Below are 17,059 nucleotides of genomic sequence, written 5' to 3'. Positions count from 1 at the left end.
TACTCTTCGGTTCATCTCCAGCGCTTAACACAGTGTCTGATCACAAGCTCTCGGTATTTAGTATTTGCTAAGCTGAAGAACTGAATTCTCCACCTAGAAATAGTGCTTTGCACAGAGCAGCAGTTCAGGGCAGGCTTGCTCTAGTTGCTGATCTGAGTGGGTGGGTAATTTTAGGAGGCAGGGTTTGACTAACTCCTAATCCAGGGAGGCAGGAGTCTGGATGGATGTTGTATAAATTCAGTCTCATTTCTCCTTTAAACAAAAATTTGCCTTAAAAGCAAGCTAAAAAGAATTATTTACATTTTACATTTTATAATAATTCTACGTTCCCCTGTATGAATATAGTAAAACAGTTACGAAACCTTCTCCCAGGCAGAACTTCCAATAGTGATGGAACGTTTTACAGTGGGAGGACTCCCACCTCCAAGTTCTCTCACCTCTTGCTGGAGTGATGAATGAATGATGGGGAGCCAGGCATTTGGATTTCCCCAGTTATTACAAGGCTCTGTGCTGGTCCCTTTACAGTTTAGCTCTGGTGACATTCTACTTCAGATCAACTTGTGACATGTTTTTTTGTTTGAGATGGAGTCTTGCTCTGTTGCCCAGGCTGGAGTGCAGTGGTGCGATCTCAGCTCACTGCAACCTCCGCCCTCTTGGTTCAAGCGATTCTCCTGCCTCAGCCTCCTGAGTAGCTGGGACTACAGGCATGCGCCACCACCCCTAGCTAATTTTTTGTATGTTTAGTAGAGATGGGGTTTCACTGTGTTAGCCAGGATGTTCTCGATCTCCTGACCTTGTGATCTGCCCGCCTCGGCCTCCCAAAGTGCTGGGATCACAGGCGTGAGCCACCTTGCCCAGCCGTGACGTGTTTTAAAACCGCAAAAATCAGACCATTTTGTATGCTGCTTTGACTTCCTTTTTCCTCTGAGGTTTGTTTGGCTAGAAAGCTTCTGTGAGAAAATTGATCTTATTAATATATTTTATTGTATTTCAAAATAATTGACATTACACACAGACTGTAGGGGGACTATTACAGGGATTAGGGAAGAGGAAGATGCGGAAGCTCTTCACTGTCTGGTCATGATGGGATGATTGGATTTTAGCCACCATCTCCATGCAGGATGGTGGAAGATAGTGAAGGGCCCTGGAGTGTAGGAGGACCTGGGCTCTAACTCCTAGCTCTAACTTATGTCACAGGCAGCAAAATCTTTAACTTCTGTGAGCCTTCACTTTCTGATCATTAAGACAGCTGAGCCACCCAGCAGGTCTTGCTGGCCACATGCTGCACAGCAGAGGCTATGTCCAGCCGTGGAGATAGCCGTGAATAAGACAGGGCCTCGACCAGCAGAGGAATGCACCGTGGTGCCTCCCCTACCTGTGGGACGGTGTGTTAGAGAGAGGGTCACACGAGGCCAGGCGCGGTGTCTCGTGCCTGTAATCCCAGCACTTTGGGAGGCCGAGGCGGGTGGATCACGAGGTCAGGAGATCGAGACCATCCTGCCTAACATGGGGAAACCCTGTCTCTACTAAAAATACAAAAAATTAGCCGGGCGTGGTGGCGGGCGCCTGTAACCCCAGCTCCTTGGGAGGCTGAGGCAGGAGAATGGTGTGAACCTGGGAGGCGGAGTTTGCAGTGAGCGGAGATCGCACCACTGCACTCCAGCCTGGGCGACAGGGCAAGACTCCATCTCAAAAAAAAAAAAAGAGAGAGAGTGGGTTACACGAGAACCCCTTCCTCCATGACTTGCTGTTCAAACGCACTATTTCAATAGCTAGAGTTGCTAGGTCCTGGAGGACCAACAGTTCTGAGTGAGGTTTACTCATTGAAAATGAGAACTCCAGTGAAAATATCAGCCACTCACATTCCCCAGACACAACATAGCCCAGCTTGGTGACAGTTGTCGCCAGTCCTAAAAACAGCTTTGGGCCTTTGGGGCCAGGTATCGTGCATTTGTTGTTCTTTTGGGTTTTGTTCTCTAAAATTTATTGAAGAGACAGGGTCTCACTCCGTTGTCCAGGCTGGAGTGCAGTGGTAATCATAGCTCACTGCAGCCGGGAACTCCTGGGCTCAAGTGACCATCCCACCTTGGCCTCCTGAAGTGTTTTGATTACAGGTATGAGCCACTGCACCAGGCCAGCATACATTTCATTTGGCCTTATTGTCTTAAAGATGTCTTTGGGTGTCAGGCCCCACGCATTTAATGCGGCTTTATTGTCTTGTAGGTATCCTTGGGTATGAAGTCCCATGCATTCAGTGCAGCCCCGTATTGTCCCGGGTGTCTGAGGGTGTCAGGCCCGATGCGTTCAACACAGCCTTGCGTTCAGTGCAGCCCCGTATTGTCCCGGGTTTCTGAGGGTGTCAGGTCCGATGCGTTCAAAACAGCCTTGCGTTCAGTGCAGCCCCGTATTGTCCCGGGTGTCTGAGGGTGTCAGGTCCGATGCGTTCAACACAGCCTTGCGTTCCCTGCAGCCCCGTATTGTCCCGGGTGTCTGAGGGTGTCAGGTCCGATGCGTTTAACACAGCCTTGTATTTTGCAGATGTCTCACGCAGCCACCAGTGCCTTCTGCCGTTCCATTAAGCTGCAGTGTGAACTTTACCCCTCTAGAGAAGTGGCCATCTGCCTGGACCCTTACTGTGGACTGGGATTTGTCCTCTGGTGCCTCTGCAGGTAAGATGCCTCTCTATATCTTTACATTAAAAAAAATCATGCACCTTCCTCTCCAGACCTTAGACCCAGCCAGGCAACCTAAGCACTGCCCCCACACCCCCACTCCTGCCAGAGGAGGCCTGGGGCTTACCCGTGTCCCTCTACTTCTCCTGGTGGACTTGGCTCTCGGGGAAAGCAGCACCTGGGGTGACTTTGACTTTCTGCAGCAGGGAAGGAGCATTTTGGAGAGCCGTCTGTTGCGGACCTTTATTTCTGACAATCAGAAGACTCCCAGGCTCCAGGCTTGGTTCTTATGCCTGTAAAACCTGGCGATGGTGCTGGGCCTGGGTTCTCGCTGGGCCAGCAGGCATTGCAGGCTGTCACCTCCCTCAGGCTTCACCCCAGCTGTTACTGCGGGGCTTAGGCTGGGCAAGCCCAGAGGTGAGTCCACGAGGGCTGAGCGTTCCCTGGGGTGCGGCACTCTACCCAGCAGCCGGCTCGGAGCCTGGCTTACAGCAGGTGCTCAGCAAGTATTTATGGGATGAATGAATGACCAGAAAAACTTATGGATGTTTCTTGGCTTTTTTGTCTGATTATACATACATGTTCATTGTAGAAATTATAGAAAATATGAAGAAGAAAATAAAGCCATCAACAATCATAGCACCTGATAAAGAGTGTTACCAATAAATACCCACTATTAGCATTGGGCATATAGTTTTCAGAGTTCATTTTCTAATGGAGCGTTTTCAAGCAAGTAAGCATAGAGCATGTCCAGTAATAAACACCCGTGACCATCATCCAGCTTCACATTTCAGCATTTTAGCAGTTTTGTATTATCCGCCTGCTTTCCCCCCTTTTTTTTTAAATGGGTATTTTAAAGCTAACACAAACATAAAAATAATTTCACTCATAAATCTTCTTTACACATTTTATGAATAAATATATGTTAATATATTTATAAAACTGAGACGCTACAGTATGAAATTGGTTATGATTTTCTCAAAATTTATAGTGGATCTTTTATCTTTTTTTTTTTTTGAGACAGTCTTGCTCTGTCACCCAGGCTGAAGTGCAGTGCCACAATCTCAGCTCACTGCAACCTCTGCCTCCTGGGTTCCAGCGATTCTCATGTCTCAGCCTCCCGAGTAGCTGGGATTAGAGGTGCCTGCCACCACGCCCTGCTAATTTTTGTATTTTTAGTAGAGACAAGGTTTCACCATGTTGGCCAGGCTGGTCTTGAACTCCTGACCTCAAGTGATCTGCCCGCCTCGCCCTCGTGCGCCACCGCACCCAGTCAGATTTTTTTCTCCTGTCAACACTCTTCTGGAACAAATATTTTTAATGTGTGACTAATATTTAATAGTATTAAGTTGTATTAAAATGTAATTCTGTATTTTTGAAAAATACCGATATTCTAATTAGGACAATTCAGCTTTTTGAGAAAGCAGATAAAACTGAATAAATGAAATATTTAATGATTTTTGCCTCAATCCAAAATGCCATAACATTGTGAGTAAATTTTTTTTTCTTGGAAAATCGCTCAGAACATGGCCTCAGGTATATGCGCCAAGCTGAACGGCAGAGGTCTGTTCTGAACAACGGCCCTTGTAGGGTGACCGTATTTCATTTGGCAAAGTATACCAGTAAAACTGAAGCCAGCCGATGGAAGCCTCCTGCCTGCAGGCTTACCAAGCCTGGCTCCCCATGGAAACCAGAGAGAAGATGTTTGTTGCAGGGAAAGTAAGTTCTCCGTGTGAACCCACAATAACAATACACTCTTTAAGGGTTTGTCCAGGTTGCGATGAAATTTGACAAGCATCTTTCCTGCAAAATGTTACTAACTCAGAAGTCACAAGATCACAGTATTCTGTTGATTGCCCTTGCAACAGTCAAAATAAATATAGCCATGAATCTTCCCATTAAAAAAGAAAAAAATCTCTATAGAAACAGATCCCAATGGACTTGCTTTTAAAAAACAAAAAAAGCACTTGGGTCCTAGATCCACAATGACTAATACATAAGTTAAAAATAATAATGACTTCCCTTTCCCATGCAGTTCAGCAGGTCTGGGAAGAGAATCAGGCAGAAGAGGCCCTGGGGGTGTAAATTTGAGGACGCCTCGACCTCAGGCTGTGCTCCTAAGAGTGTAGCAGGGTGGGGAGTGTGTCTTGGTGGGGGCAGCCGCGCAGGGTGCCCAAGCCCACGTCGGAGGAGGGGAGTCCACAGAGGGGTGTCCTGGCGTGGGCTGTGGGAGCCAGGCAGGGTGCATTGTGGGAGCCAGGCAGGGTGCAGGGTGCAGGTGGCGTGGGCTGTGGGAGCCAGGCAGGGTGCAGGGTGCAGGTGGGGTGGGCTGTGGGAGCCAGGCAGGGTGCAGCGTGCAGCGTGCAGGTGGCGTGGGCTGTGGGAGCCAGGCAGGGTGCAGCGTGCAGGTGGCGTGGGCAGTGCCAGCCAGGCAGGGTGCAGCGTGGGGGAGTCAGAGCTTGTTCTAAGAATCGGCAGCAGCCGAGGGAGATCGGCTCCGTGTGGGGAATTAGAAATCAGTGCGGCCAGGCGTTAGTCATGGGGGTACGTTCCAAATGGGCGATTTCATTATGTAAACATGGAGTTTGCTTGCACAGACTTGGCTGGTACAGCCTGACACACCCAGTCCGCAGTCCTGTGCAGCGTGTTAGTGCACTGAATGCTGTGGGCAGCGGTAACGTGATGGTAAGTGGTCGTGTGTCGAGACATATTTAAACACAGAAAAGGTACAGTAAAAAGATGGTATAGAAGGTGGGAAAAAAAAAAAAAAACTGTGTAGGGCATTTCCCATGACTGGAGCTGGCAGGAGTGGAGGTTGCCCAGGTGAGTTGGCGAGTTGGTGAGTAAGCGGCACCTGAACGTGAGGCCAGGACACGACTGCACACTATTGTGGCCTCTGTAAATACCAGACACTTTGGCTACGCCAAGTTTGTCAAAAATATTTTTAGTTCTTCAGTAATAAATTAACCTTCGCTTACTGTAACTTTTTAACCTTAACGTTTTAATTTGTAACATTTTTGACTCATCTATAAAAACACTTAGCTTATAACACAAACACATTATACAACTATACAAAAATAATTTATCTCCTTTATAAGCTGCTTTCTATTAAATTTTAAAAAACATTTGAAGCTTTTGTTAAAAACTAATATATACACGCATACACATCAGCCTAGGCCTCCACAGCACACACACAGCTTCCTAGGCCTCTACAACACACACACACGCACACACACACACGACTGTCTAGGCCTCCACAGCACACACATACACATCAGCCTAGGCCTCCACAACACACACACACAGCTTCCTAGGCCTCTACAACACACGTGCACACACATCAACCTAGGCCTCCACAACACACACACACAGCTGCGTAGGCCTCCACGACACACGTGCACACACACAGCTGCCTAGGCCTTCACAGAACACACACACACATCAGCCTAGTCCTCCACAACACACACACACATCAGCCTAGGCCTCCACAACACACACACAGCTGCCTAGGCCTCCACAACACACACGCGTACACACACCGGCCTACGCCTCCACAACACACGTGCGCACACACACACAGCTGCCTAGGCCTCCACAGAACACACACACACACATCAGCCTAGGCCTCCACAGCACACACACAGCTTCCTAGGCCTCTACAACACACACGCACGCACACACACACAGACTGTCTAGGCCTCCACAGCACACACATACACATCAGCTTAGGCCTCCACAACACACACGCACACACAATCAGCCTAGGCCTCCACAACACACACACACAGCTACGTAGGCCTCCACGACACACACACAGCTGCCTAGGCCTCCACAACACACACGCGCGCACACACCTGCCTAGGCCTCCACAACACACGTGCACACACACACACAGCTGCCTAGGCCTCCACAGAACACACACACACATCAGCCTAGGCCTCCACAACACACACACACCGGCCTAGGCCTCCACCACACACACTTGCACACACAGACAGCTGCCTAGGCCTCCACCACACGCATGCACACATCAGCCTAGGCCTCCACAACACACACACACACACAGCTGCCTAGGCCTCCACAACACACACACGCACACACACACCAGTCTAGGCCTCCACAACACACACACACACACACACACACCAGTCTAGGCCTCCACAACACACACACACACACACACAGCTGCCTAGGCCTCCACAACACACACACACACAGCTGCCTAGGCCTCCACAACACACACACACGCGCACACACCAGTCTAGGCCTCCACAACACACACACACACACACACACACACCTGCCTAGGCCTCCACAACACGCGCACACACACCAGTCTAGGCCTCCACAACACACACACACACAGCTGCCTAGGCCTCCACAGGGCCAGGGTGTTCAGTGTCACTGTTTTCCCCTCCACCTCTTGTCCCACTGGAGGGCCTTCAGGGACAGGACGCAGACGGAGCCATGATCTCCTAGGATAACAATACCTTCTCCTGGAAGACCCTCCTGAAGGACCCACTGAGGCTGTTTTACAATTTACTTTCTTTTTTATAAGTAGGAGGATGCTGTAAAATAACAAAGTACAGTAAATTCATAAACCAGTAACAGTTGTTTGTCATCATGGTTAAAGTATTAAGTTGTGTACATAATTGTATATGCTCATCAAAAACCTAATCCACCGTGCCCAAGTAGGCTTCATCTCTAAGATGCTAGGTATCATATGCAAATAAAAAAATGTGATTCATCGTGTAAACAGAACTGAAGACATGATTGTATGTGCTGTGCTTTTATATGACTGGCAGCACAGGTTTGTTTAGACCAGTTACCACCACCAACACAAGTAACGTGGTGTGCTTCAGCATCTCTAGGCAGTAGAAATTTTTCAGCTTCGTTACAGGCTCATGAGACCACCATTGTACACGGACCCATCCTTGACCAAAGCATCGCTATCCTGGGACCTCAGGGATGCTGATTTTTAAATTTTTTTTTAGAGATGGCGTCTTGCCATGTTGCCCAGGCTGGTTTTGAACTCCTGGGCTCAAGCTATCCTCCCACCTCAGCCTCCCAAAGTGTTGGAATTATAGGCATGAACCACCACACCTAGCCTACAAAAACATTTTTTTTTTAGTTAGCCGGGTGTAGTGGTGTGCGCCTGTGGTCCCAACTACTTGGGAGGCTGAGGTGGAGGATCACTTGAGCCTGGGTGGTTGAGGTTGCAGTAAGCTGAGATCACGCCACTGCACTCAAGCCTGGGTGACAGAGCGAGACCCTGTCTCAAGAATAAAGATTGCAACAGGTTGTAACACTTTGAGTAAAATAGGAAATTTTCCAACTATTCAGATACACAGATGAACAAATGGAAAGCTTGATGAGAAGTGAGGATTTCTATAGTAGCCATCCACGAAATAGTTAAAGGAAAGAGAGTCTTCATGGTGGAAAAGCCTGAACCAGCTGGTCCAGGCAAACCTCAGTGATGGTGAAGCCTGTAGCACACAGCGGGTGGGATGAAGAGAGCCGCATCCGCGATACTCCTGCCGAAGATGCCTGTCCTGGATCTCCCCATGTGGAAGCACCAGCCCCCAAGTTAGGGGACTGATTGGACAATGCACCTGCCTAGAATCTTCCCAAAGCCTGGTGTCGTGAGAGTCACGGAAACATCCAGAAACTCGCTCTGGGCAGCGGGAAGCTGAGAGCCGACCACTTTCTTGCAGTGTGCCTGTGCAAACTGGGTAATTGGGGATGGCTAGAGAAACTTGAACAGGGTCTGAGCTGGGACAGGAGGAATGCGTTGGTTTTCTGATTTTGATGGCTTAGGTGTTTATGGAGGAAAATAGACTTGTTTGTTGGAAATCCCCCCTGAAGTGTCTGGGATTACGCATCAGGTCAGTGATTCACCATTAGATAATCCAAGGAGAGAGAATTATTTTAAACGTACTTGTACATTTTCTATAACTTTGTGATTGTTTGAAAGTTAAGTAACACAAATAATTTGTGTCCTCATCCTAAAGCTTTCTTCTGTCATAGAGGATTGTTTATCTGAGACATATGAGTATAATGGTATTGTTTCAAAATATTTTTTAAGATTACACCTGTTTTTAAAAATTGTGTCAGATAGCCTGTATTCATGTATTGGAAGATTCAATATTATTAAAATGGTAGTTCTCCCCACATTGCTTTATAGGTTCAATGTAATTCCTACCAAAATCTTGGCAGGCTATTTTTTGGGGGTTTTTTGGGGCAGAAATTGATAATATCCTGAAGTAAATATAAAGGACCCACAATAGTGAAAGCAGTTTTAAAATAGGTTAACAAAATTGGAGAATTCAGAACTTCTCATTCCTGATTTCAAAAATATTGCAAAGCTGCAATAACCAGAACAATGTACTGGCATTGAGATAGAGTGATTATATATATGAGAAACAGAATTGAGAGTCCAGAAATAAACCCTTATATTTATGGTCAAATAATTTTTTAATAGAGTTACCCGAGCAATTCAATGAAGAAAAGTTTTTCCAACAACAGATGCTGGGAAATTCGGACATTCACATGAAAAGGAAAAAAGATTAAACCTTGACTCAACGTCATATACCTAAGTTAGTTCAAGTGGATCATAGATCTTAATGTAAGAGCAAAAATTATAAAAATTTTAGAAAACACAGGAGTAAATTTTCATAATCTTGGTTAGGCACAGAGTTCATCAAAGGTATACTACATAAATACTGATAAACTGGACTGGAACAAAATTTAAAACTTTTGTATATCAAAAGACAGAATTAAGTAGAAAGACAAGCCACAGTCTGGGAAAAAATATTTGCAAATTATAAATCTCATGAAGCACTTCTAAGCACCTATGTAATAAATTTTTTCTTTTTTTTTTTTTTTTTTTTTGAGACAGTCTTGCTCTGTCACCCGGGCTGGAGTGCAGTAGCTTGATCTCAGCTTACTGCCACCTCTGCCTCCAAGGTTCAAGTGATTCTCCTGCCTCAGCCTCCCAAGTAGCTGGAAGTACAGGCATGCACCACCACACCTGGCTATTTTTTTTGTATTTTTAGTAGAGACAGTGTTTTGCCATGTTGGCCAGGCTGGTCTTGAACTCCTTACCTCAAGTAATCTGCCCGCTTCAGCCTCCCAAAGTGCTGGGATTACAGGCGTGAGCCACTGCACCCAGCCTATGTAATAAACACTCAAAACTCAGAAACAAGCAACATAAACACGGGCAAGAGATCTGAATAGATATCTCACCAGAAGAAGACATACAAATGGCCAATAAGGACGTGAAAAGATACCTAGCGTTAATTAGGGAAATGCAAATTAAAACCACAGTGAGATACCACTTCACACCCACTAGAATGCTGTCACCGAAAACACAGGAAATAAAGTTGGAGAGCTCGTGTTTTCTGACTTCAAAACTTACACTGCAAAGCAACAGTAACCAAGAAGGTGGAAAAACGAATTCTCATACATTGATAGTGGGAATGTAAAATGGGGAAGCCACTGTTTGGCATGATCTTAATTAAGCAGACTTGCTGCATTGACTCAGCAGCTGCACTCCTAGGAGAAAGGAAAGCGAACATCCACTCAGAGACTTGGTGTAAGTTCCCTGGAACCTCGGTCAACACAAGGAAACAATCCAGGTATCCGCTAGCAGGTGACTGAACAGGTGACGCCTGCCACGTCCACATGGTGGGTGCTTCTGCACAGGATGAGCTCAGAAGCACCTGCTGAGGGAGGGAAGTGTGGCTGTGTGGTAGGCAGTGTCCAGAAAAGGCAAATTTGTAAACAAAGTAGAATGATGACTGGGGCTAGGGCTGGAAATGGGACTGACTGCAGATGGACACGGGATCCCTTTCAGGTGATGGGAATGTTCTAGAGTAGTGACCATTTTACAACTCTTCAATTTTATTAAAAGCCATTCTGTGCTTAAAATGAGTGAAACTTAGGGTATGCAAAGTATACCTAAATAAAGCCGACGGGTGTTTTAAAAAGAATAGGCCGGGTGCGGTGGCTCATGCAGGTAATCCCAGCACTTTGGGAGGCTGAGGTGGGTGGATCACTTGAGGTCAGGAGTTTGAGACCAGCCTGGCCAACATGATGAAACCTCGTCTCTGCTAAAAATACAAAAATTAGCCTGGCGTGGTGGCACACGCCTGTCATCCCAGCTACTCAGGAGCATGAGGCAGGAGAATCACTTGAACCCAGGAGGCAGAGGTTGCATTGAGCCAAGAATGCACCACTGCACTCCAACCTGGGCGACGGAGTGAGACTCTGTCTCAACAATAAAAAATAATAAAGTGCTTCATTGCAGTAACTCAAGTGTGTAGGGAGACCCTGGGCTGGATGGCATGCCTGCTGGCAGACAGGGTATGACCCAGGACCCCCAGGTGAGATGAACCTGTCTTGTTGAATTCCCAAGTTAGGAGAGTTTTCAGTTGTTGGTATATTTTGTCAGGTTAGTAATCTGAAATCATCAAATTGCTAATGTGCGAATGTGTATTACTTACCAAAATGTCTATTTTTATTCTTTTTGAAGTTAAGATCTGAAGAACAGCTCAGGTTCCCAACATTCTCAGAGAATAATGTCTTGAGAATAAGCAACCTGCTCTTAAGTAGGTTTGTCTTGTCCATAGCAGAATTTATTGCCAGTGCCAAAAATCAATTTTGGCTAATACAGCAATTAATCAAAATTTGCTGTATTGAGTGAGGTAAGGGCAATTAGGAAATCATGAGTTGGGTTTTCTATTTGTTTCTGCTGTCAAGATTTGTGTTTTCTTAATGTTGATTTCTTATTTATGGTGATGAGGAGGGAGGTGAAACTATATTTAGTTTTCACAAGTATATTTGAAATTCTCTGGCCAGGAATTCACACTGGGTTCCCAAGCCCGTTGTGTGCTGACAATTCTGACAGAGCAAATCATTAATGCTGATGTGTATTTTTGAGGAAGCCACTTCCAGGGACACTTAGAAATGGTTAAAATGACTTTGGGTGTCCGAGGCAGGAGGATTGCTTGAACCTAGGCGTTCAAGACCAGCTTGGGCAACATAGTGAGACCCCATCTCCACAAAAAAAGTTTTAAGTTAGCCAGTCATGGTGGTATGTGCCTCTAGTCTCTAGTCCCAGTCATGGTGGTACGTGCCTCTAGTCCCAGATACTTGGGAAGTGGGAGGATCACTTGAGCCCATGAGGTCAGGGCTACAGTGAGCTGTGATCACACCACTGCACTCTAGCCTGGGTGACAAAGTAAGACTCTGTCTCAGAAAAAAAGAAAAGAAGTGGTTAATATGGTAAATGTTATGTTACATATGTTTTACCACAGTAAAATTTTTAAAACTAAGATGAAATGGCCAGTTTACAGCAGAGTAAAAATTCGAGGCCTGATATTCACCCCTTATGTGCCTAACCCTGTTCTCAAAGTATTAAACCCTTGGAAAGGTCACTATTTGCTAGAAAGTCGTCCCTCGGTGTCCACGGAGGAGATAGGTTCCGGGACCACTGCAGAAAGCAAAGAGCGAGGATGCTCAAGTCCCTGATATAAAATGGCATCATACGAGCACATCACCTATGCACTTCCTCTCTCATGTTTTAAATAATTTCTGGATTACTTGTAATACCTAACACAATGTAAATGCTGTGTGAATAGTTGTACTATGTTGTTTAGTCACTAATGATAAGAAAATCTACAAGTTAGGTATAGATGCAGATTTTTTCATGAATATCTTTGATTCATGGTTGAAGCCAGGGGTGAGGAACCCACAGACACAGAGGGCTATGTGTCCTTTTGAAAAGAATAAATCAAGCTTTGGAATAAGAATGAGGAAAGAAATGGAAAATTGCCCAAAAACGCCTTTGTCACATTTGCCGAAGAGTAGTTTTTCATACTAAGGGTCCCGTTTGAAATAAATTTTGTTAGCCAACCTAACTTCCTTACATTTCTTTAGTTGGATTCTCTTATAAACAATTATGAAAATTTTTAGATGAGATTGGCTACATTAAAGAACTGGCTTTAGTATTATAGCATAGTAGTTAACAAGGCCTAACTCGTTAATCATAGTGCTGTTTCACTGATAAAATTTTGCGTAGGCCTCTTATGGCAGCTCATGCCTATAATCCTAGCACTTTGGGAGGCTAAGATAGGAGGAGTACTTGAAGCCAGGAGTTTGAGACCAGCCTGGGCAACAATACGAAACCGTATCTACAAAAAAAAAAAAAAAAAAAATTAGCCAGGCATAGTGTTGTGCATCTGTAGTCCCAGCTACTCAGGGACTGAGGTGGGAGGATGGCCTCAGCTTGAAAGGCAGAGGTTATAATGAACCCAGATCACACCACTGCACTCCAGTCTGGGTGACAGAGTGAGACCCTGTCTCAAAAAAAAAAAAAAAAAATTGTGTAGGTTGGGCATGGTGGCTCATGCCTGTAATCCCAACACTTTGGGAGGCCAGGCACATCTTACATGGCCACAGCAGGAACAAGAGAGGATTGCTTGAGCCCCGAAGTTCAAGATGAGCCTAGGCAACATAGACCCTACCACTGAAAAAAAAAAAAAACAAGCATGGTGGTGCACACCTGTGGTCCTACTGACTCAGGAGAGGCAGGAGAATTGCTGGAGCCCAGGAGTTTGAGGTGACAGGTAGCTATGATTACACCACCCTACTCTAGCCTGGGCAACAGAACGTTCCCGTTAATTAAATTGTAAATCTTAGAACGTGATTTATCTAGGATATTTTATTTTAATGTATGGTATCTATTGTGAATTCATAGTAGTAAACAAAATTAAAACCATTAAAAATGTAGTTTTGACAAGTTGTTAAATCCACACTTACCCCATCAATTGATAAAATATGTAATCTATCACTTTTTCATTTCTCTAAATCTGTTCTCTAGTATGAAGGTAAAATTAAAGAATCGTTATTTTTCTCTATTTCTTCTGTTTGGTAATTCGTTGGGATCCTTTTTAGTAAAAATCTGATCTTAAAAAGATTGAGTGACTAACTTTAATTACCATAATTGTCTTTTTTTCACCCTGGCTGTCAGTTTTCTAAACCAGGTATAGGCCTGCTCTTTATTAAATTGCTGTTTGGTAAATATTTTAGGTTCTGTGGTCTCTGACCACTCAGCTCAAAGCCACTGGAGACAATATTTAAACAAATGAGTGGTGGTGGCCCTGTTCCAATAAAACTTTATTTACAAAAACAGGAAGTGTCTGTGGTTTGCCAGCTCCTGTTCTGAAGCTGGACTTTTTTTTTTTAAACCGAAATTTGATCCCTGTGTTTTCTACTAAGAAAGAGGATCCAGTTTGCTGATGTCGCAGGTCTGAGAGACATCACAGCATCACAGCGTTTAGTAGTCTTAAATGTGTGTTCAAAGTGGTAGGAACTGCCCCATGATTCTGTAGTACGTATTTGCTTTTCAGAAGGCTTTCGTGAACATGGTTGCAGTTTGCAGCGTTGGCTTTACTGTGCCCTTCTACAGATGGCAGCACGGGCTGTTCCAAGTCCTCCTTTTCCTTGGAGTCAGTGCTGCCCTGAGCCCTCCAGCCTTGCTGAGCTCCAGCCTTGCTGAGCTCCCGCCCTGACAGCCTCTTCTTTCTCTGCAGTGTGTATTCTGGGCACCAGTCCATCCTGATCCCGCCCTCTGAGCTGGAAACCAACCCCGCCTTGTGGCTTCTTGCCGTGAGTCAGTACAAAGTCCGAGACACGTTTTGCTCCTACTCCGTGATGGAGCTGTGCACCAAGGGGCTGGGCTCGCAAACAGAGTCCCTCAAGGTAAGCAGCTCCCTTGGCAGCTCAGTGCCCTGTGAGCCCACAGGGACTCCTTTCTAAGAAGGCACATCTGTGATGGGGTGAAGTTAAAACAGTCCTCCAAAACAAAGCCTGGGTTTAATCTAACGTCACCTGAAGCTTACAAACTGCCTTTATATGAAAATCTTTTTAACGTGAATATTTCCCCACGACCACAGACAGTAACGAACCAGAATGTAAAATATTTTCAATGCCTGTCATTCCACTGGGTCTACTTGAAAGATCCTAAATTTGATTTTTTGTTGGGTGGATTCAGTGTTCTGAAGTGTTCAGTGTTCAGAAGATCTTAGGTGATGTTAACTTTATTTGATACTGGTGTTTAAGAAGGTAGGTTTGAATTTAGCCGCTCACTTTTATTTTCCCTGGAGACCCTGATTTCTGGGTCTGGACCCTAAGCTCAATTCATTTTACAGTTCAGTTAACAGTGTTGTGTTTCATTTTTTAATAATTGCTATTATGTAAGAATAATAGTATTTCCCTCCATTTAAACCAAGGACATTTTGATACGTATATCTTCATGGTAAATTAAGTAGTCCTTAGCTCCAAGTAACTAGGAGGGAATAATCATCTGACCAGTTTTGATAAAATTTCAACTGACTTTGTACTCTTTGGATGTGTGTATGTCTTTGTATATACATGGATTGTGTTTGTGTTTCTGTCATCTACACAGAGATCAATAACGGAACAGTACATTTATCTGTCCTGCATTGTTTTCCTAATGCATAAAGCTTGGACAGGAAAGCAAAATGCAAGATAACTTTATGTAACATAAGTAATTGTGCAATCATTTTAAGTTTTTATATAGGAAAAAGTTAGCACTATTCATGTTCATCTATATTGTATTAGAAAGTGAGTACATTTTCATGACCTTCCTGTTGGCACATATATAAATAACCAGAATAAAATCATGACATAGTTGAGGGTCAGTATGCAATTTACGTATTCATTTCATCCTTACAATAGCTCTCTGAAATAGGAGCCCTTATTGTCTCCATTTTAAAGCTGAGGAAACTTATGTCATAGAGAAATTAAGCAACCTTTCCAGGTTCTTAGGCTGAACGAACCTGGAGCCAAATTTAGAATCTTTGGCTTCAGACCTGCTGTTGCAGCTGCATGCTGCTTTACCTCTCAGACGTGCGCGCGTGTGAATATGTAATTTGTGTCACCCAGACTTGAGTTTTTCCTGTTTAACTCTGTGTGTACAGTCGTGTCTGTACACTGAGCACGAATGTCAAAGCCAGCTCGAGCTGTGCGTCCTCCTTGCTCAGGACCCTTGTCGGTTGTCCGTGTGCCGAGGCTGCCTTGAAAGGGTTCGCAGGGCCTGACGGTTGGGGTTTTGGTGGCCGCCCCCTTAGCAGCTCTGGGTTCCACTCCAAGACGCAGACATTCACGGCTCGCCTTCACATTCACAAGCCATTCCTGTCGCTCCCTTACTTTCCCTCTGCTCGGCCCAGGTAGTGCCACAGAGTGAGCTGAGCTTAACTCCTTGAATTCCTGTATGACTTTTTCTGTTGTGCTCGGCTGACTGAATTTGGTGTGGAAACTGAGATGTTGTTAATCTTTTGCTTACTGTGGAAACAGACACGCTTGAGAATGAGAAGAAATTCTTGGCGTAATGGGACATAAATGGAGCACTGTCTATGAAGTCATCCAAAAATTTTAGTTTTATATTCCTATATATTAAAATGTAGGTTTTCAGGCTGGGTGTGGTGGTACATGTCTGCAGTCCCAGCTACTTGGGAGACCACAAGGTGGGAGGGTCACTTGAGCCGAGGAGTTCAACTCCAGCCTGGGCAGCATAGCAAGATCCCATCTCTTTTACATGTAGATTTTTCCCGTTCCTCTCCAGTGTGTGTTCTGGTACATCCATGCCCAGAAGAATGTATCAGATGGCTCTCTTTTCCCGAACGGCCTTTCATCGTCTCAGCCAGGAAGTTGCTTTTCCTCAACCTTTTTCCTCATAACAGTTCTTGCTGTGGCTCCAGGTGGTTGTTTGAGACGTGTTTGTAATTCCATTCTTAATCATTTGAATAGTTGTGTGAATGTTTTTTCACCAACTCCTGGTTTGTTATATTGAAGAAGTGGACACAGGTGGCCCTGGAAATGCATAGCTGTGTTGAGTTTTCCAATGTTTACGTGGGGATCTGTGGGAAGGAGTCTCTGGCTCACTCCAAGCTCGACACGTGGGGGCTGACTCGGTTTCTCTGTCATCATCTCCAGGCGCGAGGGCTGGACTTGTCCCGAGTGAGGACCTGCGTGGTTGTGGCGGAAGAGAGGCCTCGGATCGCACTCACACAGTCGTTCTCAAAGCTGTTTAAGGACCTGGGCCTTCACCCGCGGGCCGTCAGCACCTCGTTCGGTTGCAGGGTGAACCTGGCGATTTGCTTGCAGGTGAGATTCGGCGACATCACAGTGCTGAGTGGGAAGTGTGGCTCCCGGGGTGGGTACAGCACAGACTGGCTCCACTCGTCTCCCTCGGCTGATGCTTAGCTACATCCAGAAGAGATCTTTCAGTCACACGCATGCGGTTGGTGCAGATCTCTGTTTCTTTAAACTACAGTCTACGTTCGTATCCATTATTCATAACA

At 45.3% G+C, this 17,059-nt stretch overlaps 1 protein-coding gene and 1 long non-coding RNA gene across 10 annotated transcripts in view; both read left to right on the top strand.

Moving 5' to 3' along the window:
• DIP2C (disco interacting protein 2 homolog C) overlaps window positions 1–17,059 on the top strand; it is a 415,468-nt gene that overhangs the window by 345,801 nt on the left and 52,608 nt on the right. For all 9 annotated transcript variants that reach the window (NM_014974.3, XM_005252427.5, XM_005252426.4 and 6 more), the window contains 3 exons: window positions 2,539–2,669; window positions 14,267–14,435; window positions 16,692–16,862. In NM_014974.3, the coding sequence (NP_055789.1) occupies window positions 2,539–2,669; window positions 14,267–14,435; window positions 16,692–16,862 (471 nt within the window). The remainder of the gene's footprint in view (window positions 1–2,538; window positions 2,670–14,266; window positions 14,436–16,691; window positions 16,863–17,059) is intronic.
• On the top strand, window positions 2,676–8,843 carry LOC124902362 (uncharacterized). The gene is made up of 2 exons (XR_007062030.1): window positions 2,676–3,089; window positions 8,016–8,843. It is a non-coding gene; the product is annotated as an uncharacterized LOC124902362 (long non-coding RNA).

The sequence above is a fragment of the Homo sapiens genome, chromosome 10, assembly GCF_000001405.40.
Source record: "Homo sapiens chromosome 10, GRCh38.p14 Primary Assembly".
Classification (NCBI taxonomy): Eukaryota; Metazoa; Chordata; class Mammalia; order Primates; family Hominidae; genus Homo; species Homo sapiens.
This window is presented reverse-complemented; position numbering and strand designations above follow the sequence as displayed.